The following is a 23,643-nucleotide window of genomic DNA, read 5'->3' on the forward strand; positions in this document are numbered from 1 at the left end:
ATGTTTTCTTCTAGGAGTTTTATAGTTTGGGGTATTACATTTAGGTCTTTAGTCTATTTTGAGTTAATTTTTATATATGGTGTAATATAAGGGCCCAGTTTCCTTTGCATGTGGATATCTAGTTTTCCCAAAACCATTTGTTGAAGACACTTTTCTTTCCCCATTCAGTCATCTTGGCACCCTTGTCAAAGATCATTTGACCATATATACAAGGGTTTATTTCTTGGCTATTCTATTTCATTGGCCCATTTATCTGTTTTTATGCCAGTACCACACTGTTCTGATTACTGTGGTTTCGTAATATCTTTTGAAATCAGAAAGTGTGACTCCTTCAACTTTATTCTTCCTTTTCAAAATTTTTTTTGGTTATTCAGGGTCCCTTGAGATTTTGTGTGAATTTTAGGGTGATTTTTTTCTATTTTGAAAAAAAATGCTATTGGGATTTTGATATGGATTGTGTTGAAATCTATTGATCACTTGGGGCAGCATGAATATCTTCACAGCATTAAGTACTGCAATCCATGAGAATGGGACGCCTTCTCATTTATTTGTGTCTCCTTTAGTTTCTTACAGCAATGTTTTGTAGTTTTGATTGTACAAATCTTTTTATTTTTTTTCTGAGACAGAGTCTTGCTCTCTCACCCAGGCTGGAGTGCAGTGGCATGATTGCAGCTCACTGCAGCCTCCACCTCATGGGTTCAAGCAATTCTCCTGCCTCAGACTCTTGAGTAGCTAGGATTACAGGTGTGCACCACCATGCCCAGCTAATTTTTGTATTTTTAGTAGAGATGGGTATTCACCATGTTCATCAGGCTGGTCCCGAATGCCTGACCTCGTGATCCACCCACCTTGTCCTCCCAAAGTGCTGGGATTACAGGCATGAGCCACCATGCCCAGCTGATTGTACAAATAATTTACCTCCTTGCTTAGGTTTATTCCTAAGTATTTTATTCTTTTCGATGCTGTTGTAAGTGGAACTGTTTTCTTAATTTTCTTTTTGGATTGTTCATTGTTAGTGTATAGAAAAGCAACTGACTTTTGCATATCAATTTTGTATTCTACAATTTTGCTGAATTTGGTTATTAGTTCTAACAGAGTTTTTGTGGAATCTTTTAAGGTTTTCTACATATAAGATCATGTCATCTGTGAACAAAGATAATTTTACTTCTTCCTTTCCAATTTGAATGCTACTGGGGGAACCAGCCCCCAATATTTCAACATGGTTCTTTCTATTTTCCCTAAGTGTCGGCTGGTCTGAGAAATAAAGAGAAATAGTACAAAGAGAGGAATTTTACAGCTGGGCCTCTGGGGGTGACATCACATATTGGTAGGACCGTGATGATGACCCCGAGCCGCAAAACCAGCAAGTTTTTATTAGGGATTTTAAAAGGGGAGGGGGTGTACAAACAGGGAGTAGGTCACAAGGATCACATGCTTCAAAGGGCAATAAAGATCACAAGGCAAGGCAAAATTAGAATTACTGATGAGGGTCTATGTCCCACTGTGCACACATTGTCTTGATAAACATCTTAACAGGAAACACGGTTCAAGAGCAGAGAACTGGTCTGACTAGAATTTACCAGGCTGGAATTTCCCAAAGCCTGAGGGTACTGCAGGAGACCAGGGCGTATTTCAGTCCTTATCTTAACGGCGTAAGACAGACACTCCCAGAGCGGCCGTCTATAGACCTACCCCCAGGAATGAATTCCTTCCCCAGGGTTACTCCTTGCTGGGAAAAGAATTCAGCAGTATTTCTCCTACTCACACATCCGTCTATAGGCTTTCTGTGAGAAGAAAAATATGGCTGTATTCTGCCTGACCCCGCAGGCAGTGAGACCCTATGGTTATCTTCCCTTGTTCCCTGAAAATCACTGTTATTCTGTTCTTTTTCAGGGTGCACTGATTTCATATTGTTCAAACACACCTGTTTTACAATCAGATTTCATATTGTTCAAACACACATGTTCTACAATCAATTTGTACAATAGTGGTCCTGAGGTGACGTACATTCTCAGCTTACAAAGATAACAGGATTAAGAGATTAAAGTAAAGACAGACATAAGAAATTATAAGAGTATTATTAGGGAAGTGATAAATGTCCATGAAATCTTCACAATTTATGTTCAAAGATTGCAGTAAAGACAGGCGTAAGAAACTTTAAAAGTATTAATTTTGGGAATTGATAAATGTCCATGAAATCCTCATAATTTATGTTCTTCTGCCTCAGCTCCAGCTGGTCCCTCCATTTGGGGTCCCTGACTTCCTGCAACACAATGCCTTTTATTTCTTTTTCTTGTCTTATTGCTCTGGCCACTACTTCCAATACTATGTTGAATCAAAGTGGTGAAAGTGGGCATCCATGCTTTTTTCCTGATCTTAGAAAAAGAGATTTTAGTCTTTCACCATTGAGTATGAAGTTAAATATAAGCTTTTCTTTTCTTTCTTTGTTTCTTTCTTTATTTGGAGATGGAGTCTTGCTCTGTCACCCAGGCTGGAGTGCAGTGGCACGATCTTGGCTCACTACAGCCTCTGCCTCCTGGGTTCAAGCAATTCTCCTGCCTCAGCCTCCTGAGTAGCTGGAACTACAGGCATGTGCCACCACGCCTGGCTAATTTTTGTATTTTTAGTAGAGATGAGGTTTCGCCATGTTGTCCAGGCTGGTCTCAAACTCCTGACCTCAGGTGATCCACCCACCTCGGCCTCCCAAAGTGTTAGGATTACAGGCGTGAGCCACCTTGCCTGGCCGATACAAGCTATTCATAGATGGTCCTTATTATTATCTTGAGGTAGGTTCCTTCTGTTTCTAGTTTGTTGAGTGTTTCTATCGTGAAAAGGTGTCAAATCTTGTCAACTAACTTTTCTACATCAGTTGAGATGATCATGTGGTTTTTGTCCTTCATTCTGTTAATGTGGCATATTATATTGATTGATTTTTATATGTTGCATCTCAGTAATAAATCCCACTTGATCATGGTGTATAATCCTTGTAACATACTGTTGAATTTGGTTTGCTAGTACCATGCTAATCTTCTCTGTATTGTTCCAATTTTAGAATATGCACTGCCAAAGGGAACACTCCCACAGCTTTACTTTTTAAATATGGTATAACGTAAAAATACATTAAATTTAGGCTATCAAATGAGTTAAAGACCAATAATTCTTTTCTACATTTGAAACACACAAAAATTAAGACACACATGTGCTAGTTCTTCTGTTTATTGTTTTCTTTGAGGAATTGGGCATCACCTCCTATACAGCTTCAACCTTAACCTTAGCAAATGACTGACTGCCTCTTTGGAAGGTGCTGTGAAACAATTTGGCCTATAGAGAGCATCTGTATTTGCAGGTTCTATAACATTATATGAAACTTGTTTGTAAATAAACCTAAATTGTTTAAAATAAATAAGGATATAAATAATATGTACTGAGAATTCAGTTCTTTTCCAACATATATGCAATAATTCAAACTTCAGGGTACGTAAAATACAACACCTCACACAGAATAATGTGCAGAATATGCGGAGTAACAAAAATTCTCTCCTTGACCAAACTCTAGCCAGGTTCCTCTGAGCCATTTGTGGACTAGGCCTCAACAGACTTGAACAAAACTCTAACACAGTCTCTAACAGTTCAAGGTAGCATCTCTAGGATGACTCCAGCCCCGCTTTAAAGGGCCTGCCTAAAAAAACTCAGGCTGCCAAAGGAATTTACTGTTCCAGCCAACACCTTAAGATATGGCTCCTATCTCCCAGCATCTGTAGGAGGATAAAAGCCTAACTTCCAGAAACACCCTTTAACAAACCCAGATGGGTTTCACATGGACTAACCCCTACTTCGCACTTTTTGTAATCTTTCACTTCCCTCACTCTTCTGAGCGCCCCCTCATTCCTCTCCCCTTCCCTATTTCCCCATTTTTCCTTTAAAGTCTGAGTAACATTTGTACAAATCAAAGTTGAGTTCAGTTCGTGCTGGACTCCTCCTTATTCCATTAGTATATTACTGGTTAAAACCTGTCTCAACCGCTTTACTGTCCTGCTTTGTCTTTGACAAAGGCACGGGGGTGGATTTATTTTTCTGGCTGAGTAGAGATCCTAATGTCAGGCACTGCGGACGGTGAGGGCCACGATTCTTTGGAGAAAAGTTCCAAGGGGCTATACCATTGGAAACTAACACCAGCTAATAGAATTGTCTGCTCTGCGTCACAACTCATGGAAGTTGCTGCTTCTGATCCAGAGCTGGGAAAGGTTAACAGGTGATTACAAAAGCCTAGGATGTTTTGTCAACTTCCTGGAACAATTCCACCAGTCAGAGCCCAAACCGGGGGCAAAGGAGGAAGAGAAACTCGAAGCAGGGTGTGACCAGGGTAGACAGGCTGAAAAAGGAAACAAAATGTAACATCCTAAGAGAACGCAGAGGCCGAATAAAGGAACTAACCCTCACCTGCAGCTCAGATTCTACGCCGGCGCCCGGAGCTGTGTCCTGTTGCCTAGCGACGGCGCATGCGCACTGACTAGCGCAGCCCCCTAAACATGCATCCGCGCCTGCGCAGCCGCGGGTCGCCCAGGGTTGGGATGTTGGTGTCGGCTGGGGGCTGCTGTGAGGCGCTTGGTAGCACCCAGTCCTGATACTCTCCAGTTACCCGGTAGGCGGGGCTCGGACACAAAGAAAAGGTGAATTCGCAGCTGAGAGCCCTTGTTTCCGGTCCTTTTTTTTTTTTTTTTGAGATGGAGTCTCGCTCTGTCACCCAGGCTGGAGTGCAGTGGCGCCATCTCGGCTCACTGCAAGCTCTGCCTCCGGTGTTCAAGCGATTCTCCTGCCTCAGCCTTCTAAGTAGCTAGGATTACAGGCGCGCGTCACCACGCTTGGCTAATTTTTGTATTTTTAGTAGAGCCGAGGTTTCACCAAGTTGGTCAAGATGGTCTCAAACTTCTGACCTCGTGATCCGCCCGCCTCGGCCTCCCAAAGTGCCGGGATTACAGGCGTGAGCCACCGCGCCCGGCCGTCTCCGATCTTTACACGCATTCTTCGTGTTATCTGAAGACACTCTGACGCCACCACCCAAAGCAACTGGCAGTTGACTCTTGGCAATTTTAAGCTTGTGTGGAAAGCAGCCGCCGCCCGGTAGCTCCTTTTTATCTAGAGACACTCAGGATGTGGGGGACACCCCAGCAATGCCATCCCTCCTTTGACCTCCAGAGCGCGCAGAATTACAAAGTTGAGTAATACTTTATTTGAAAAAATGAAAAGTGCACACACACACACACACACACACACTTACATAGGCACAGTATAATCTGGAAGTATGACCAGCAAATGATAACTGATTCCCTCAGGGGAGAAGAAACTGGGTGGCTGAAGGACAGGAATGAGAAAGAAGGACAGTTGCGTTTGTTTGTATCGTTTGAAATTGTCCAGTGTGTATGTGTTCTTTTCAAATGTTTGAAGAACCATTGGCTCCCTTATCAAAATGTAAATACCAAGGAAAATCAGGAATTTAAGAAGTCTAAGAATTCTGTAATGCTGGGTAGAATTTTCTGTACGTGTAAAACTAAAATGTCTTTTGTAAATCACTGAGTCTTCCTGTTTATTTCTGGTTAGAGATCTTTGGGGGCTTGGATGGAGGAACAGGAAAAGAGGAGCCAGGCTTTTTTGGAAAATTGGCGGCAGCGGTGGCATACGGGAAACTGAAATCTTTATCTAATCTCATCCTTTGTATATTCGTCTTGGATTTGCTGAAGAAAATTAAAAGGTAAATTTTGCTGTGAGCTCACTGAACTCAAATTGAAAGGGAACATATGCTGTTTATTTTTGTGAAGGACATTAATTGGGTGTGACTGGCAGGGTTGAGACCTGAAGTTCCTCTTTTAGATAAGGAAAATTTCCCTTGGTGAGAAATCTCTAGACTAGTTATGATAGATTCCTAACCCCCAACCTTGAAAGGTAACTTAAGGCTCCCTCCTCTAAGGGAAGGGCTGAAGAAAAAATTAAACAGGCAACTGTGCCTATGAAGATTTGCGAAAAAAAAAAAAAAAAAAAAACATCTAGGACACTTCTCATTCACTGGGTCAAGCCAGAGCCATCAACTTTGTGACCTAGTGAGTGGTTAGTGGATATAGGCAAGCGTAGTAACTTGGGACCAGAGGTTAGGGATCCAGAAAGTTGAAAATGTAAAGACAAAGGCCAGAGGTTATAACTTACTGCCTCTTGGTAAGTAGGAAGCCAGAAGTTGAGCTCCCAAATAAAATGTTTTAGGAACTGTGGTTCTTAAGTAACTCCAAAAGTCAGTACATTTACAAAGAAGTAAATGAAACCTCATAGGTAATGAAACAATGAGACTGAGGAGTGCCTGGGATTAGAAATTCCCAAACGGAGAAAAAAACACATCACAGAAGAGCCATACTTGGTGAAATTTATTAAAAAAAAAAAAAGAAAAACAATAATTTATGCCCTTGGCAAAATAAAAGATCTTATCAATATAAATGTTTCTTAGAAAATGTATGAAAAGATAATATATATTAATAAATCAATATTAACATTACAGCAAAAGTAATAATGATTATATAACAATGACAAGTGAAGATATTTCTGGCCCTTACACAGTAGTATTTCTGGAAGGTCTCTGATTCCTGCTTGCTCTAGTACAGGCGTGCTCTCACTTTAAGAAAGCCTGATGCCGCTGGGCGAGGTGGCTCACGCCTGTAATCCCAGTACTTTAGGAGACCCAGGCGGGCAGATTGCCTGAGGTCAGGAGTTTGAGACCAGCCTGGCTAACATGGTGAAACCCTGTCTCTACTAAAAATACAAAAATTAGCCGGGCATGGTGGCTCACGCCTGTAGTCCCAACTGCTTGGGAGGTTGAGGCAAGAGAATCGCTTGAACCCAGGAGGTGGAGGTTGCAGTGAGCCGAGATCGCGCCACTGCACTCCAGCATGGGCGACAGAGCAAGACTCCATCTCAAAATAAAGAAAGAAAGAAACAAAGAAAAGAAAAGCTTATATTGAACTTCTCTAAAAAAAGAAAAAAAAGAAAGCCTGATGCACACAAATCTAAATTTGGCAAGTCGATCAATTAAAGGATATTTATTTGCATCACAAAATAATTCTTTACTCCCCCCAAAAATCAATAAAAAGTTCAAATAGCAACTTTTCCTAATGTGTTTAAAATGTAATCACCAAATACATGTGTCCCCAACTTCTTTCCAGTTATAATTCTATTGTGTAAAGTGAGGTATACCTGAAGTGAGGCAATAAGAGAGTTGAGCTTCAGACCTGCCTGGAGAGAGCGTGTTCTTTCTTAGAGTCTGAGGAAATGGTTGGGGGCACAAATTCTCTCAATCTTTTTCTTTTCCCTCATCCTGAGCTCTTATTTTCTTGTCTCAACTGCTTTCTGGTAAACTTTGTTCACCTGGTACTTTCAAGAAAAAAAGAAGGAAATCTTACGAGAGGGAGGCAGATTAATGAATTAGTGAGTCACTCTAGCAGCGCAGAGCAAGGGAGAATCTGCGATGTGAATGAGGAGGATCTGAGTGTGGGTGTGGTTGTACTTGGGGAAAAGCAGGAACAATCTTGAACCCTTGACATGGTGCATTTGAGGCCCCTCTCCCAGTAGGGCCACCTGAGTCCCTGAGGAGCCGCAAGGCCTAGTCCAGCCTTCCCTAGATGGGACACATCCTCAGGAGAATGGATGCAGGCCTATTTATCACACTCCTCCTGGCTGCCTTCAGCACAATGGTAGTGCTGCTCACAGAACTCCTGGATCCGGCTGCACGCCTCCAGCATCATCACCTCGGGGACTGTGATGACCACTCGGATGAAATTCGGGTACTCAAAGCACTGCAAAAAGAAGAGTCTGTTACTTTCAGAGCAATTGAGTCTGGTACTGGACCACCCTAAAATGGTCAGGACCCTGATCCACAAGAAGTGGTACCATTTCATCAGGGCCATCAGTTCATTCAGCTCCCATGACTGGGATGCTAAGTCAGCAACTGAGTTCATTCATCTTAAAATGACTTGTGGGACAGGATCAATTTCCTCTCACCTAGAACGTTTGTTTACAACTTTTCTTCCCAGTATGGATGGGATTATGATGGGGGGGAGAAGCAAATTTTAAATAGGATCCATGAGACACATCAGTTTGAATCTTATCAAATGAGAAGACATTTTGTTGGAGGAGAAAAGATCAGGCTAAAAACCAGCTCAGAACTTGCTTCTGGGGCTCTAGAAACTGTTGAGAATGTCCTGAGGGACACAGGCACCCACCGTTGCTGGGAGGCAGTGGACAGACTGCTCAGCAACTAACCGCTCCGTGAACTCCACATCGTTCTCAAATTCTGGGAAATGTTCCATCTCAATTCCAACCTATACCAACAGGAGGGAGAGGCCAACTTATCAGAAGGAGGGAGAACAGGCCAATTTCCTGTGCCAGAAATTAAGGTAGGGGCTACTTTAAAAGATATCTTGGAACTGTGCTACTGATCACTGATAAATAAGAGGGCTAATATTTATGGAATTTTTCTCAGGGAAGACAGGATATATTTTTATTAATAAATATTAAAGAGTTCCTTCCCTGATGCTGATAAATAAAAGCTGGAAATAGAATGCTAGTATGTCTCAAAAGAGACACTACTGGCATTAGGGCCAGGCAACTCTTTATGGCATGAGACTAGCCCACCCCTTGCAGGATATTTAACATCCCTGACCCACAAAATGGCAGCCCCTAGTCATTCTGAAAACAAACAAAATTCCCATACATTCCCAGATACCCTTAGGGAACCAGTATCACTCCCAGTTGAGAATTACAATGGTATGAAAAGCCTCTTATTTGTGTTTTAAATCTTCCCTGTATCTACATATATAAAATGATTCTCTGTACTGAAAAATTAAATCTTTTTTTTTTTTCTTTTCGGATGGGGTCTCACTCTGTCTCCCAGACGGGAGTACAGTGGCACGATTATGGCTCACTACAGCCTCAACCTCCAAGGCTCAAGTCATTCTTCCATCTCAGCCTCCCAAGGAGCTAGGACTACAGGAGTGTGCCACCACGCCCAGCTCATTTTTTTTATTTCTTGTAGAGACAATAGAGTTTCACCATGTTGCCCAGGCTGGTCTCTAACTCCTGCGCTCAAGTGATCCGTCCACCTTGGCCTCCCAAAGTGCTGGCATTGCAGGCGTGAGCCACCATGCCCTGCCTAATTAAGTCATTTAAAGAGTTTTATGAGAACTGATAGAGGCTAAATTACCTCAGTGGGACAATTCAGAATAAGACAACTCCTAAACTGCTTGGCTTAGGAGGCCAGCTGGTTGTCTTTGTACCCTGCGTGACTGCCTGTGGCAATTCTGCTGAATGACTGCCCTTTGCCTTACAACATGCATTGACCTAGTGCCTGCCACCCACATACTCACCATGAGGTACATAGCCCCAGAAGGGCGGACTGGCCGGAGTCCAGGGATGGCAGCCAACGCCCCATAACAGAGATCAGCATTGGACTACAAGAAGAGGCAAGGAGAAATCAAGGATCAAAATTTAAGTAAAAGAAAAGCCAAGTCATTAAAAATAGCCCCCTCATTGAAGAGTGGGAACGTAGGTGTGATGTTCTGGCATAAGGAGTGAAAAAGAAAAAGCTCTATTACTTGAAGCTTTTCACCAGGGGCAGAGAGAATGGCCGGAAGTGAGAAACGTGTGTGTGGATGCTTACACCGATGCCGTCTCCTAATATTGGAACATGGCTCCAGAAAGGAGAACCAATTATTCCTAATTCCACGGGCGGCATTCTCTGACTCCCAAACTCCCAAAGTGGAGGGCAGGAGCTGCCCTTACCTTGAGGAAGCTCAGAGTGTTGTGGTAAAACTCTCCCGGGGTGCGACATAGGATGCTTTTCAGAGCTCCCTGGACAATGGTACAGGGTCCCAAAATGCGCTGACTCAGCTTCACCAGCCCATCTCGGATCTAAAAGACACCCACAAGAAACATGTTGTTTAGCTTTTCTTAAGCATCTCTGTCTTAGAGTTTCTTGTTCTGACCTTTCTATCAGGTTTTTAATCTTGGAAAGTGATGGTGTCTAGTGGCATTCTTAGATCAGACCCTCTGGGTTCGTAGCCCAGCTCTGCCACACACATGCTGCTTGACTGACAAGGAGAAAGAAAAGAAAAAAGCCTCCCTTGTCCCCACTGTGCTCATGAAATAAATATATACCCTAAATTACACATACTCTTTCACCATATTATCACCTCATTGCCAAAAATGTCTCTTCGGTCATGAATGAGGATCCAGCCCAACCTCCAGCCAGGAACCAGCCAGCGCTTGGCCAGCCCTCCACAGGACAGGATGGGGACATCGGTGCTGAGGGTGGCCAGTGGTTCATATTTGCAATCCGAAAACACCTGAGAAGAGGCACTTGTTATGGTTGTTTTCTTGTCTACTTCTCACTGCAATCCCAGATCCCGTGGCTCCCACCCATTTCCTTCTATCACTAGGGACAGGTCCTTGGATTAATGGGATCATCCCTACCCTGAAGCATGACTGGGATTGCAAGAGGCTTTGAAGGGGACTACACAAAGACATTTAATTTGGTGTCTGGACTGGATTAAAGGAAGCCTAAAATGAGGAAACTGACCCTAGCCCAGTAATATTTACAACTCCATGAAGCTGGCTCTATGAAATTACTGTCTATAGGAGTTACAGATTTAAAATATAAGTCCACAATCCCTTATCTGAAATTCCTGGGGCCAGGTATTTTCATAATGCAAAATGGTTTGGGCTTCAGAAAGGCCATGTAGCACACTTACCATACGTTATGTAACACTCCCAGAGCTGTCTAGGATAGTACCCCTAATCAAGAATATTAACATTTCTGCCATTTTCCCCACACTCTTAACAAATATATAGATCCACAAGTGGGAAAAATAAAAATCTACAAATATCAGGTCAAATCAGGTTTTGTAACCAAATGAATTCCAGGAATCTTTGGATTTCCAAAGTTCTTTGGGTTTCAGAAAACTGGCTAAGGAGTTGTGGGTCTATATATTTGTAAAAAGTGCAGGGATGCTGATTTGCTGTAATGAAACGATTAGGAGTTGTTTCTGATTATTCCACTTCTAAAGTTCCCATAAAATAATTTGAGATTACTGTAGTGATATATCCTGATCAAGACTCACCATGTCTCCATAGATCTCATCAGCTAAGATGGGGACACACTGCCGTGCAGCCACTGAAAATAAAACATGCTGAAATCAGTTTTAATGTGAATTGCTTTATCATGTAATAGTCACATAATATCATGTAATTTCCCTATCCCGTAATATTAAGAAGTTACAATTCTTAAAGAGAAAGACAAAAAGCACAAGCAAAGTGTGATTTGCATTTCATGTTTGTGTGTTTTGTCTTCCTATTTAAGAACTGTAAATTCTTAACATACTCTTCCAGAGTGCAGAGCCTGAATTCACCATTTAAGTAACTAGATATTTCAGACCCTATCTTCAACGTGATGGGAGTGATGAAGAGGCAAGTACTATTTCTTTTTCTCCTGGGAGTGATGAAGAGACAAGTATTTCTTCTTTTTCTTCTTTTAGGCCAGGCCTACCACTCCTATGGCACAGTATTGATGAGAGACATCAGTGGAGCTCCCCACCTCCACCCCAGGCTTGGAACTTAGGGAATGACTGGTTTTTGTCATTTCACACAACAGCTGAAGGATTCTGTCCCCACCTCGTCCTCTGTGAAGTCTGCTGGACGTACCTGCCAGAATCTTCTGAAGATGACGTTTGCTGAACACTGACCCACAGGGGTTTGATGGATTATTGACAATGAGACAAGCTGTCTTTTCATCAATTAGATATTCCAGTTGTTTCAGGTCAATTTCCCAAGATTTCTCTGGCTGGAGAGAAAGAAAGGATGAGACTAAGATGATTCTGAAACATTTAGGGGGAATCCTCACTTATCTCAAGGGTCCAATGTAAGCAATAAAGTCTGTCTCTGGCTTCAACCACCACTTTGAGACCTTCCTCTGCTGAAGTAATGTTCATATATTTTTTACAGGTTAGTAACTGAGCATTTGAGTCTAAGATTAAAAAGTCATTTACCAACAAATTGTAGAGTTTGACCTCAATTCCCATAGACTCAGCCAGAGTCTTGTAGAGAGAGAAACCAGGTCTTGGAACCAGGATGTTTTGCCCTGGGTTGGCCAACACAGCTAAACAAAGGTCAATAGCTTGGCTGCAGCCACTTGTCAGAATGACGTCCTGTGAAGGAAATAAAAGGTTAATTTCATTAGGGGTTCCAACAGCAACAGGAGAAAAGAAGTTGTCAGGTGGGTGAGTTGGGAGCAATTGTGAACTTCCTTTAACAAGTTGTAAGTAGTAGGAAATGTACTAAGCCAAAACCAAAAGAAATTTATATATGTTGATAACTATTGTTGAAATGTTGGCCACTTAAATCACTTTAAAAAGGATAGGTTGGCTGTGACTCAGCAGACTTCCATGAGAGAGCATGCTGGCCTTGGACCTTTTTCGCTTGGTTATTTATTTACTTTTGGCCAGAGATTTGAAGCCTGGCTCTTCGCTGACATACAGGTGACAGACACACATTATGTTAGAAAATGCTGACCCCACACAGTAGACTATAGAGGGAAGGACATCATTTAAACTTGGCACTGCCATCAATTCAGTATGTCCTGGTACTTCTATCTTTCTCTCTAAATGACCTTACAGTAAATGAGAAAAGCTACAATTTTTTTTAAAAAAGAAAGATCCTATTGGTAAAATTTTTTAAAATAATTTTTTAGTGTTTATGAGTTGTTCTCAAATGATCTTTTACAGACAATCAAATATAGGTGCTCTCTGGATCCTTTCGGCCTCCTTGAGACAGACACCACATTAAGTTGTATGGGATGGTCATTATCACACTGTAATGACATTAACTATAATCACTGATTAGTGACCCCAACTATATGAGAAGTCTTCTAATTGCTAAAGGGAAATTGTTCTCAGCTTTTCCCCCTCTGACACCCGTACTTCTTGTGGAACAGAAACAAGTAAAAAGGGATAGTTTGCCCTAAATTGCTTCAGAGCTGGTGTCTTGTATAAGGCTCACCTTAGCTTCTAGGGGTGCCTCAGGACAGTGGTAATAAGAAGCAATCTCCTCCCGACTGGATAGGAAGCCTGAAAGAAAAGAGTGGAAAGTGGAGCTTTTTTGGTTTTTAGAGACTGTGTCTCACTCTGTCACCCGGACTTGGAGTGCAGTGACACAGCCATAGCTCACTGCGGCCTCAAATTCCTGGGCTCAAGGGATCCTCCCACCTTAGCCTCCTGAGTAGCTGGGACTATAGTCGTGCTCCCCCACATTCAGCTAATTTTTGAATTTTTTTGTTTTGTTTTTTGTTTGTTTGTTTTGTTTTGTTTTTGTTTGTTTTTTTTGTAGAGACAGAATCTCCCTCTGTTGCCCAGGCTGATTTCACACTCCTGGGCTCAGGGGCTCCTCCCACCTCAGCCTCCTGAAAGTGCTGGGATTACAGGGGTGAGCCACTGTGCCTGGCAAGAAGATGAAGTTTTCATCCCTCAACTGACAGCTATGCCCTGGAGGCCCAGCATGGGCTTCAGGCTGCCTCTGCCCCTGCTCAGAGGGCATTCTATTTAGTTCAGCTCTCAGCCATTGTGGATAAAGGAGATTCACTTCACATTTTATGTTTTACAATTTTAGTATAAGCACGAATGTATAAATGATAACAAGGAAGAGCTCCCCAAATACTCTGCACCATCTTGATTTCTGTGATTATATTTTATTCTGTGTAATACAAGGATTTCTATTATTCCCAAATCTTTTTTAGGGACTGTATTTTTTAAGAAGTTGTAATCGCCAGGCGCGGTGGCTCACGCCTGTAATCCCAGCACTTTGGGAGGCCAAGGTGGGTGGATCACCTGAGGTCGGGAGATTGAGACCAGTCTGACCAACATGGAGAAATCTCATCTCTACTAAAAATACAAAAATTAGCTGGGCATTGTGGCGCGTGCCTGTAATCCGAGCTACTCAGGAGGCTGAGACAGGAGAATCACTTGAACCCGGGAGGCGGAGGTTGCGGTGAGCCAAGATCATGCCACTGCACTCCGCCTGGGCAACAAGAGCGAAAACTTCGTCTCAAAAAAAAAAAAAAAAAAAAAAAAAGAAGTTGTAATCAGTGCATTCAATTCATGTGGTCCATTTTAAGTTTTTTATGTTATGTAATATTCTTATCAGTATTTTTGTACAAATTTTTATTTCAAATTATTTTTGTACAATATTTCCAAATGTTGGCTTACAAGCTTGAAGTATCAGCAGTTTCATGCCCATCATAATATTTTGCAAAATTTATGTTCAAAAAGACAACTTAGCAAGGCTAGAGGCACTATTTCATAATGTTTACTAATTTAATAGGTATAGATGGGTGTCTCAAAGTTATACAAATCAGCACTTCCTTAATTACTAATGAGGAAGAACACTTTTTTAGACATATATTAACACCTGTATCTCCTTTGAAATGAAATGTTCAGAACCTTTGAACATTTGTCAAATGGAGACTTGGTTTTGGTTTTTCAGGTTAAATCAGTTTCCTAATATTTGGATGTTAAAGTCATTAGAAACTTTTTTTATAACAACTTTTGGTCTTGATTTTGCTTTTATTTTTGTTGTATGAAACTTTATAAAATGTAAGTAATCAACCGAAAAACCACGAAGTCCCCGATATAACTCTTTAAAGTGTTTTTAAAATTTGATTTTATCATGAAACTGGGGTTTTATTCTGCATTAAGAATGTGTTTCTATGTACACATAAGGAAAAAAAATGTTCAATACTGAAAGTCAAGGAATCATGTACTTTACCAAAATATTCAGGGTAGAAATTTTTAATAGATGGAGAGAAACCTAAAAAGGAGTAATTTCAATCTATCAGAAACAACCTTCTATCCTTCAGTTTGACAGCCCATTTTTTGTTGTTCTTGGGTGTTTGTTTATTTGTTTGTTTAAACCCGTTAGTCATAAACGGTAACAATTGCATTTCAATGTGCTCAGGACCATAATGAAAATAGGCCTTCAATACATAGAGAAGCAGAAATGAAGCAAAGGAGCTATATACACAGAGCAATAAGTAAATCCATTTAGGACCTAGAGGCTCAGCAAACACAAAGCTCCTGCCAGACTCAAGGCCTTCAGATTAGAATTAGTAATGATAGGATAGGAGCTTTACTTGACAAATAAGTATGTTTGGGAGCCTAGAGGGGAAGTGCCCATATGTCAAAGAAAGCCAGGAAAGAAGTTGGACCTTGATGCCTTGTATTTAAGCATCCCGAGACCCGGTTCCCAAATCCAAAGGACCATGTAATCTTAGCCTCTCCTTAGGAATTGTGCATCAGGAAAGTGAAGAGGATTGCTAGACATTTAGTCCTGTTATAAGAGCACTAAAGATTTGGCAGTCACCAGGTATGGAGTCTCAGGAGGAGCTTACCGATGGATGGGGCATAGCCATTATATTTGCCCGAGTCCAGGGCATCTTTCATTGCCTGGGTAACTTCAGGGTCTGTAGGCAGGTTTCCAAACACAGTAGGGTCCCCTTTTTATGGGAGGAAAACACAAAAGGAGCCAAGAGGTTATTCTCCCATGTTCAGTACTCAGACTCACCCCCAACTGCCATCTTCTCCAACCAGCCTGTGAACATGAGAGTAGAGGAGGACAATGACAGCCCCTCAGTAGTGTCCCCAACTCACCAATGGACAGGGAAATCATGGTTTTGTTTGGATTTGGTTTCACCTTCATGTTGTCCACAATGGCTCGGATGGGGTTGAAAGTTTTCTTGGCCATGTCTGAGGGCCTCACAGACCACCTGGCCTTTCTGCCTTTCATTTTTCCCGGCACAGAGCTTCTCCCACCAACGTTGACATGCACGTCCAGAATTGAGGGGAGGTTGCCTTTGCTGCTCATCTGAATCATGTATGGGTCCATCACTAGCGAAGCCTGCGAGGGGAAAGAAGTTCCCTGTGATGTTGATAACATAGCGCTGGGGGACAGAGGAGCTACATTTGGACCTAAACATTGGGTGACTTCACTAAAAGTGTCTTTCCAAACTCTCTCTTTATTTTTTTTTCTACTTTCTGTTGTAAAGTAGCTTTACTATGAATGGGGGAGTTTTAAGAGTTTTTACTGAGATGGAAAATAAAGCAAGAACCCATTCTACTTAAGTAGGATTTGCTACACGCATCTGCAATTCCTGTCAAAGCTTAACCATGCTCTATGTGAAACCAAGAAGGAATAAGATGAAAATTGTTCATCAGTCAAAGCATAGGTTCTCCTTCCTTTCCATGCGAGCCTATCCAAGAAAATCTACCTAATGCTTCTTGTCATCTGCAGAGGACCAGGAAGAACCACTCCATCTTGTTAGAAGTTCCATGTAAATATCATTGTTAGTAAAAGTAAAACCTTATCCCATAAGCATGTTACAGCCCTAGCTGGAAAAAGAAATCAATACACCAAAAAGAAAAAAATTAACAGCTCAATCAGTCACCACTGCCTGATCAGCTTGGGCTTGAGATTTTTACCTTCCAAGTAAAGGAGAAAGCAGCCTCCAAGAAGCCAACCCCGAAAGCTCCCTTAGCTCTTCTTTGACAGGTTACAGGGGCAATGAACTCAGATGCAAATCCTAACTCCTGAAATAGTCTCCACAAATGGGCGTTGGGCTTGAAACTTTCATGCCATTGGTTGGAATGACAACTCAGCAGCCAGCTCTCCCCTCAGCTTCTTTCCTCCTCTCCCCCGTCATTGCCTCTCATCCCTAAGCCCACCTCCCACCCTCAAAGCAGGAATTTGTCCTCACTTCAAACATCTGGAATTCTCCTGTGTTAACTCTTTCTGGGCACTTGGTGAGATGGTTTGAGAACATCTACTGTCAGAAAGTACTTCTGGTTACAGTTGATAGCTTTTATTAAATTTTTTTTACAAAACAGCCTGTTAAAATTTTAACAGTACAGAAATATATAAAGTAAGAAGTGAGCATTCTTCCTTGCACCTGCTCCCTGTACACTTCATTCTCACTCCCAGGGGTAGAGGGTGGTAATGGTCAGGCTCTTTCCCTCCATTCAGAGATAGATACATTACATATAGGTGCATAGATACATAATTTCATAGATTTCAAAACACAGATAGGATCGTGCTCTACACCTTGTTTGGCAACATTTTTTTTTTAACTTCCTACATCTTGGACGCCCATCCTTGTCAGTCCACAAAGTTTTGCTCCAATCAGAACAAATTGGGCACTTAAGTTCCATTCAACAAATAGCTGAAAAGCACAGGGTGTCCAAGGCAGCTGAAACCTGTGCAGTTTTATCCTTGCACTGTGCATGAATTCTTCATTTACCTCCTATGGTTGTTGGAAGAATTTAAAATGTCAGGTGCGATCCACACAAAACAACTTTGCTAAGCAAAACACAAGGTCCACAGCCAAAATCTCAACATTCCTGTGAGCAGATGGAAAATACCACCCACTGAAGGGTTAAGAGAAGCCTCAGTGATCTCCCCAGGGCTCAGATCCTGTCTGTTTATTTGTTGGAAGACAAAGATTTTTCACATCAGTTTGTTCTTCTCCATTCACTTTTCAGGGAGTCAAGCCTCCAGTGGGGTTGAATACAGTAGTCCCCCCTTATCCACAGGGAGCACACTCCAAGACCTCCAGTGGATGCCTGAAATTATGGATGTCTGAAACCATGGGTAGTACTGAGCCCTAGGTACACTATGTTTTTTCTTATACAGTAATGGCAGGTAACGTCTATAGCATGGATACACTAGAAAAAATTATTCACGTCTTGGGCCAAGGGCATCCTTGTCATAAATGTTAGTTTACATATTTGATTATTTCCTTAAGACAGATTTCTATACAAGGACTGTGTTGCAAAGAATAAGCATTTCTCTTTTACATTTTTAGTAAATATGATATATCCTTATATAATAAATTCAAATAGAGATGTACGTGAATTAAACCCTGATCACCTTCCCTCCCTGCATTCTCATTTTATATAAAAAAATCATTTTTAGTCATTTCTTGTGTACCCTTCCAAATGTTTTCTATGTTTATTACAATACGTATAAAGCTGGTTTGGGAGTTGCTAAAAAAATGGAGAGTAAACGTGGTCTATAGTTGCACTGTCTAATATTGTAGCTACTAGTCATAAGTGGCCGTTGAATACTTGAAATGTGACTGGTCTGAATTAAGATGTGTTGTAAAATACACATCAGGTTTTGAAGACTTAGTATAAAAAAAGAATGTTAATATCTCATATAATTTTGTATGATTACATGTTTAAAGAATATTTTGGGGCTGGGCATGGTGGCTCACACCTTTGGTAATCCCAGCCTTTCGGGAGGCCAAGGTGGATGGATCACTTGAGCTAAGGAATTCAAGACCAGCTTGGGCAACATAGTGAAACCCCGTCTATACAAAAAGATACAAAAACTAGCCAGGCATGGTGGCATGAGCCTATAGTCCCAGCTACTTGGGAGGCTGAGGTAGGAAGATCACCTGAACCCAGGAGGTCAAGGCTGCAGAGAGCTGTGATCATGCCATTGCACTCCAGCCTGGGTGACAGAATGAGACCTTGCCTCAGAAAAAAAAAAAAAAAAAAATATATATATATATATATATATGTATATATATATATAAAATGTATTTTATTTTACTCAGTACACCGTATATATATAATAAAATATATAATAAAATATATGATAATAAAATACATGGTGTGCTGAGTAAAATAAAATACATTCTTAAAATTAATTTCACCTATTTGTTTTTATATCTTAAAATATTTCTATTAGGAAATTTGAAGTCACTATGTGGCTTGCATTCTGTCTATTGGACAGGGCTGTTCTGTAGCTTGCTTTTTTTAAAATCTTAATAATGTGTGGGCTGGGCGTGGCAGCTCATGCCTGTAACCCCAGCACTTTGGAGGCCAAGGCAGGCAGATCATCTGAGATCAGGAGTTCAAGACCAACCTGGCCAACATGGCAAAACCCCATCTCTACTAAAAATACAACAATTAGCCAGGCACAGTGGTGCACACCTGTAATCCCAGCAACTCAGGAGGCTGAGGCAGGAGAATCGCTTGAACCCAGGAGGTGGAGGTTGTGGTGAGCCGAGATCGTGCCACTGCACTCCAGTCTGGGCGACAGAGTGAGACTCCGTCTCAAAAAATAAAAAATAAAAATAAATAGCCTGGTGTGGTGGCTCACGCCTATAATCCCAGCACTTTGGGGTTGCTGAGGCAGGCGGATCACGAGGTCAGGAGATGGAGACCATCCTGGCTAACACCGTGAAACCCCATCTCCGCTAAAAATACAAAAGTTAGCCCAGCCTGGTGGCGGGTGCCTGTAGTCCCAGCTACTCGGGAGGCTGAGGGAGGAGAATGGCATGAATCCGGGAGGTGGAGCTTGCAGTGAACTGAGGTCGCGCCACTGCACTCCAGCCTGGGCGACAGAGCCAGACTCTGTCTCAATAAATAAATAAATAAAATAAAAAATAAAGCATATCGAATGTCCTTGTACATTCATGATTGATAGAGAACTTTTATGCATATCCTGTTATTTGAGGGATAGTTTCAATTACGGACTATACAAAGACGAAAGCAATGCAAATATGTTTAATTTGAACAACCTCTTGGAGTTCAGACTACCTGTCATGACAATATACTGTGCTTGAGAGATGACACAGGTACCTCACTGAGTGTTACTGTAGTGGTTCTCCAGGTGGACAGAGACTCAGAGGTGTTAAAAAAAATTATTCAATAACACTTGTTAAAGCATGGTAAGGCAGACTTTATTCAGGACCATTCCAATAGCTAGACGGCCCACTGCAATGGATTTTCCAGTGGGGAAGAGAAATTGGATTCAACTCCAAATATGGTGATGGCAAGTGTGGATTTATAGCCAAGGATGGAAAAAGTAAGAGGAATCATCAGGAGTAAGGGGGATTCTGCTAAACTGACCTAGAAGGCCAGTGTCAGTGTCATCCTGCTGAAGACAGGCCATGGTGACCAAACATTCCCTGGGGGACGGCAAAGAATGAGGAACCTGGTCAGATATGCAGGGTGGGAAATCTTGCCAAAATGACTCAGGGTTCTTTGCTAAAACTGGATCTTGCAAGGAAGTGCAGATGGGCTTAGAAGAAGATCCAGAAGCCTGACAAAAGTCTGGTCAATCAGAGAATCTTTGTCAGAGGTTGAGACCACTGGTCTTTAAAAGAGATCAAGTAAGAATCAGATTTTTCTCAATGTGAGAAGGCTACTATGACTGATTTCTGTCACTCAAGGTTCAGATTTTCTTTTCTTTTTTTTGAGACGGAGTCTCACCCTCCTCACCCAAGCTGGAGTGCAACGACGCTATCTCAGTTCACGGCAACCTCCGCCTCCCGGGTTCATGCCATTCTCCTGCCTCAGCCTCCCGAGTAGCTGGGACTACAGGCACACACTACCACATCCGGCTAATTTTTGTATTTTTAGTAGAGACGGGGTTTCACCATATTGGCCAGGCTGGTCTTGAACTCCTGACATCAAGTGATCCTCCCGCCTCGGCCTCCCAAAGTGCTGGGATTACAGGCGTGAGCCACTGCACCTGGCCTCAAGGTTCAGATTTTCAAGGAGACACGGATCCAACTCCCCCTCCCACATTTACACAGCCTGTAAGATTGGTGTCCTGTCTCCAACTGGACATTAAACCAGGAGACTTAGATTATTCCCTTATAGGTTGTGACCCCTGGGGTCTTCCCTTTTTATCTTGGGAGCTCAGGCATTTTGTTATATTTTATCAAGTATGTCTAAATATTTTTGTAATGGAAGATTTTCTAGGTTATCCTGTCCTCAATACAGCCAGAAAAGGAAATCTGTCTTCTTCCTTACTTAAAATGTCACTTTGTACTAAATTCCTGTATCTTCTTGACTCTCTTTCTGGCATATGCTATTCCAGAATGAACATTCTTACAGTTTTTTATACACACAGCCACATTGCTTTAAAAAAGGCCATTTACCTTTCTATCAGTAATTGTCTGCAAACCCTGGGAATTATTTTCTTAAAAAAATCTTTGCCAAACTGATTGATGGAGGAAAAATGGTATCCAAGTGCTGCTGTTATTTCTGTTAACTCTGTCCCCTCTATTTTAGCGAGGGTGGTCATGTTTCATGTTTCTTTGCTCTTCCCATTTTGTGAATTGTCTGTTCATGTCCCTCACCCGTCTGTCTACAAGGGGACTCATCTTTCTCGTAGGTAGGACTTTGGCCTAGGAAGCCACTGCAAAGCAACAAGACAGCTGCTTTGAGATCACTGGCCCAGTCTCCTCTGTGTCAACCTGACTGGCTGAGACTCAGGTTTACAGATCAAAAAACAGCAAGCAGCACAAAATTTTGGCGGGTTGTCCTGCAAATAGTGCCGCTGACGCAGAATCTGCAGGCCAAGGGGTGTGTGATGGGGACAAGAGCTGCTGTACCAGAAGGTCATCACCATGGACACACCCTCGCCTCGGCTTTGGCAGTTGACAACGAAACCTAAATCAGAAGGAAAAACAGACAAGGCAAACAAGTTTTGGTCATGCGCTCTTCTGTAGCTAATGTTTTCCCTCGGTAGAAAGCAGACAGAGAGGGCCAGGCGCGGTGGCTCACGCCTGTAATCCCAGCACGTTGGGAGGCCGAGGCGGGTGGATCACAAGGTCAGGAGATCGAGACCATCCTGGCTAACACGGTGAAACCCCGTCTCTACTAAAAATACAAAAAAAAAAAAAAAAATTAGCCTGGCATGGTGGCGGGCGCCTGTAGTCCCACCTGGAGGCCGAGGCAGGAGAATGGTGTGAACCCAGGAGGCGGAGCTTGCAGTGAGCCGAAAGTGCTCCGACAGAGCGAGACTCCGTCTCAAAAAAAAAAAAAAAATGCAGACAGAGAGAACGTGAGAGGACCCAAGTCTACTTAGGAAGCTTTCCTGATGCCAGATAAACTTTACAGGGAAGTCAGGACCCAGTAAAGTGTAGAAACACTCGTTTTTTGTTTGTTCGTTTGTTTTAAGACAAAGTTTCGTTCTTGTTGCCCAGACTGAAGTGCAATGGCACTATCTCAGCTCACTGCAACCTCCGCCTCCCATGTTCAAGCGTTTCTCTTGCCTCAGCCTCCCAAGTAGCTGGGATTACAGGTGTCCACCACCACTCTCGGCTAATTTTTTGTATTTTTAGTAGAGACAGGGGTTCACCATGTTGGCCAGGTTGGTCTCGAACTCCTGTCCTCAGGTGATCCACCCGCCTCAGCCTCTCAAAGTGCTAGGATTACTGGTGTGAGCCACCACACCTGGCCTTTTTTTTTCTTAAGTATAAAATTGTTGTTTGCCATTTTGTATTTAAAATTTTTTAATTGTGGTAAAAAAAAATACTTAACATTAAATTTACCATCTTAACTTTTTTTAAGAGGCAGGGCCTGGCTCTGTTGCCCAGGCTGGAGTGCAGTGGTGTGATCATAGCTCACTGCAGCCTCAAACTCCTGGGCTCAAGTGATCCTCATACCCCAGCCTTCAGAGCAGCTAGAACTACAGATACACACCACCACGCCCTGCCAATTTTTTATTTTATCGTAGAGACGGGATCTCGCTATGTTGTCCAGGCTGGTCTTGAGCTCCTGGCCTCAAGTGATCCTCCCACGTCAGCCTCCCAAAGTACTGGGATTACAGGCATAAGCCAGCATGCCCAGCCAACTTAAACATTTTTAAATGTACAGTTTAGTTTATTCACGTTGTTGTACAACAGATCTCCAGAACTGTTTCATCTTGTAAAACTGAAGCTCTACACCCATTAAGCACGAATTCCCCCTTCAATTTCCCCTTAGCCCTTCACAACTACCTTTCCACTTTCTGATAGAAAAGTATTTGTGAAATAGCGCCATCACCTAGAGATAACCACTGTGAACCATTTTGCCCACAATTAACATCTTGAAATTTCTACTTTTTTCTAGATATACAGAGTTTTGTATTCCGTGGTTTTCATTTTACAATATATTGTGAACATTTTCCTAAGACTATAAAAATTTTTGTAAACTTGCTTATCAATAGTCGCCTAAAACCCCAGGGCCCTCATTTTTACAGACCTGTTTCCCACACCCTTTCTTTTCTCCACCTATGCAGATTGGGCATCTATCCCACACCAAGCACTGTCTGGCATCTTGAACCTGAATCGAGTCATGTAATCTTCACATCAGTCCTAGAAGTAGAGGCTGTTTCATTCCCACTTTACAAACGAAAGCTAAGTCACACTGGTAATTGGTGGCGAGTTGGAGTTCAAGCTTCATAATCTGGCTCCAGAGCTCACTACACAAGTCTGCCTCTCTTCAGCGGACAAAGTAAGTTGAGAAGCACAGTCTTTTCTTCTCTAAGGAATATAAAAAGAGAAAACATGAAGACAGAGCCAACTGGGAAAGCCTTAAGAAAATAGTGAATTAACTATGTGGATTAAGTATGGACTACTCTCTGAACTTTTATTGCTCATCTTTATTAATTATTTTGTATCTTTGCACCCTGAATCATCATTAGTTATCACTCATCCTTGTTGGGTACAGAGAATGTACATGTTCTACTTCTCCTAGCCGACTGTATGTTACGTGAGGAAGTGCACAG

The 23,643-nt window shown here is 42.1% G+C and overlaps 1 protein-coding gene, 3 long non-coding RNA genes and 1 pseudogene across 5 annotated transcripts in view, besides 8 other annotated features; 1 reads left to right on the forward strand and 4 right to left on the reverse strand.

The window, feature by feature from the left end:
• Positions 1,288–1,789: an enhancer, noted in NCBI's record as "NANOG hESC enhancer chr16:71595643-71596144 (GRCh37/hg19 assembly coordinates)". NCBI's record gives its function as "activates a minimal SCP1, AML or CMV promoter by ChIP-STARR-seq in naive H9 embryonic stem cells {active_cell/tissue: H9 hESC(naive)}" and the evidence as "EXISTENCE:reporter gene assay evidence [ECO:0000049][PMID:30033119]".
• RNU6-1061P (RNA, U6 small nuclear 1061, pseudogene) lies at positions 2,978–3,076 on the reverse strand (annotated as a pseudogene).
• On the reverse strand, positions 3,201–4,488 carry LOC124903710 (uncharacterized). The gene is made up of 2 exons (XR_007065106.1): positions 4,441–4,488; positions 3,201–4,372 (listed from the first exon to the last, which is right to left on the reverse strand). It is a non-coding gene; the product is annotated as an uncharacterized LOC124903710 (long non-coding RNA).
• On the forward strand, positions 4,564–11,986 carry TAT-AS1 (TAT antisense RNA 1). 2 transcript variants are annotated; one of them, NR_103852.1, is made up of 3 exons: positions 4,564–4,670; positions 5,599–5,749; positions 11,568–11,986. It is a non-coding gene; the product is annotated as a TAT antisense RNA 1 (long non-coding RNA). The 2 variants fall into 2 exon arrangements; NR_103851.1 differs by lacking the exon at positions 4,564–4,670 and adding an exon at positions 5,337–5,469.
• Positions 4,984–5,515: an enhancer, noted in NCBI's record as "H3K27ac hESC enhancer chr16:71599339-71599870 (GRCh37/hg19 assembly coordinates)". NCBI's record gives its function as "activates a minimal SCP1, AML or CMV promoter by ChIP-STARR-seq in primed H9 embryonic stem cells {active_cell/tissue: H9 hESC(primed)}" and the evidence as "EXISTENCE:reporter gene assay evidence [ECO:0000049][PMID:30033119]".
• Positions 5,208–16,640, reverse strand: TAT (tyrosine aminotransferase). Its single transcript, NM_000353.3, has 12 exons — positions 16,557–16,640; positions 15,729–15,975; positions 15,470–15,574; positions 13,087–13,154; positions 12,078–12,236; positions 11,734–11,872; positions 11,154–11,206; positions 10,227–10,379; positions 9,817–9,945; positions 9,402–9,485; positions 8,259–8,357; positions 5,208–7,832 (listed from the first exon to the last, which is right to left on the reverse strand). The coding sequence occupies exons 2-12, from the start codon at positions 15,961–15,963 to the stop codon at positions 7,692–7,694; spliced, it is 1,365 nt and encodes a 454-aa protein (NP_000344.1). The 5' UTR covers positions 15,964–15,975; positions 16,557–16,640; the 3' UTR covers positions 5,208–7,691.
• Positions 11,342–12,541: an enhancer, noted in NCBI's record as "BRD4-independent group 4 enhancer chr16:71605697-71606896 (GRCh37/hg19 assembly coordinates)". NCBI's record gives its function as "activates an origin of replication core promoter dependent on BRD2, P300/CBP, MED14 and CDK7 cofactors, and independent of BRD4, by STARR-seq in HCT116 cells {active_cell/tissue: HCT116}" and the evidence as "EXISTENCE:reporter gene assay evidence [ECO:0000049][PMID:35650434]".
• Positions 11,342–12,594: a biological region, named in NCBI's record as "BRD4-independent group 4 enhancer GRCh37_chr16:71605697-71606896".
• Positions 12,445–12,589: an enhancer, noted in NCBI's record as "145 bp enhancer 32 fragment used in the MPRA reporter construct; PK_construct_590". NCBI's record gives its function as "activates an SV40 promoter by MPRA in HepG2 cells {active_cell/tissue: HepG2}" and the evidence as "EXISTENCE:reporter gene assay evidence [ECO:0000049][PMID:23512712]".
• Positions 12,450–12,594: an enhancer, noted in NCBI's record as "145 bp enhancer 166 fragment used in the MPRA reporter construct; PK_construct_971". NCBI's record gives its function as "activates an SV40 promoter by MPRA in HepG2 cells {active_cell/tissue: HepG2}" and the evidence as "EXISTENCE:reporter gene assay evidence [ECO:0000049][PMID:23512712]".
• Positions 12,510–12,523: a transcriptional cis regulatory region, noted in NCBI's record as "HNF1 motif; enhancer 32 activity is reduced when this motif is scrambled". NCBI's record gives its function as "necessary for full MPRA enhancer 32 activity {active_cell/tissue: HepG2}" and the evidence as "EXISTENCE:site-directed mutagenesis evidence [ECO:0005528][PMID:23512712]".
• Positions 12,517–12,528: a transcriptional cis regulatory region, noted in NCBI's record as "FOXA motif; enhancer 166 activity is reduced when this motif is scrambled". NCBI's record gives its function as "necessary for full MPRA enhancer 166 activity {active_cell/tissue: HepG2}" and the evidence as "EXISTENCE:site-directed mutagenesis evidence [ECO:0005528][PMID:23512712]".
• Positions 23,317–23,643, reverse strand: part of LOC105371334 (uncharacterized) — a 37,613-nt gene continuing 37,286 nt past the window's right edge. The window contains exon 3 of the long non-coding RNA XR_933717.2: positions 23,317–23,398. This is a non-coding gene — a long non-coding RNA (uncharacterized LOC105371334). The remainder of the gene's footprint in view (positions 23,399–23,643) is intronic.

This window comes from Homo sapiens, chromosome 16, assembly GCF_000001405.40.
Source record: "Homo sapiens chromosome 16, GRCh38.p14 Primary Assembly".
Taxonomy (NCBI): domain Eukaryota; kingdom Metazoa; phylum Chordata; class Mammalia; order Primates; family Hominidae; genus Homo; species Homo sapiens.

Coding starts and splice junctions, on each gene's coding strand:
- TAT (NM_000353.3), bottom strand. CDS start 15,963: ATGGACCCATACATGATTCAGATGAGCAGCAAAGGCAACCTCCCCTCA. Junction 15,575..15,728: donor CATGATTTCCCTGTCCATTG/GTGAGTTGGGGA, acceptor TCCCATAAAAAG/GGGACCCTACTGTGTTTGGA. Junction 8,358..9,401: donor CTGGGGCTATGTACCTCATG/GTGAGTATGTGG, acceptor CTGTTGGTATAG/GTTGGAATTGAGATGGAACA.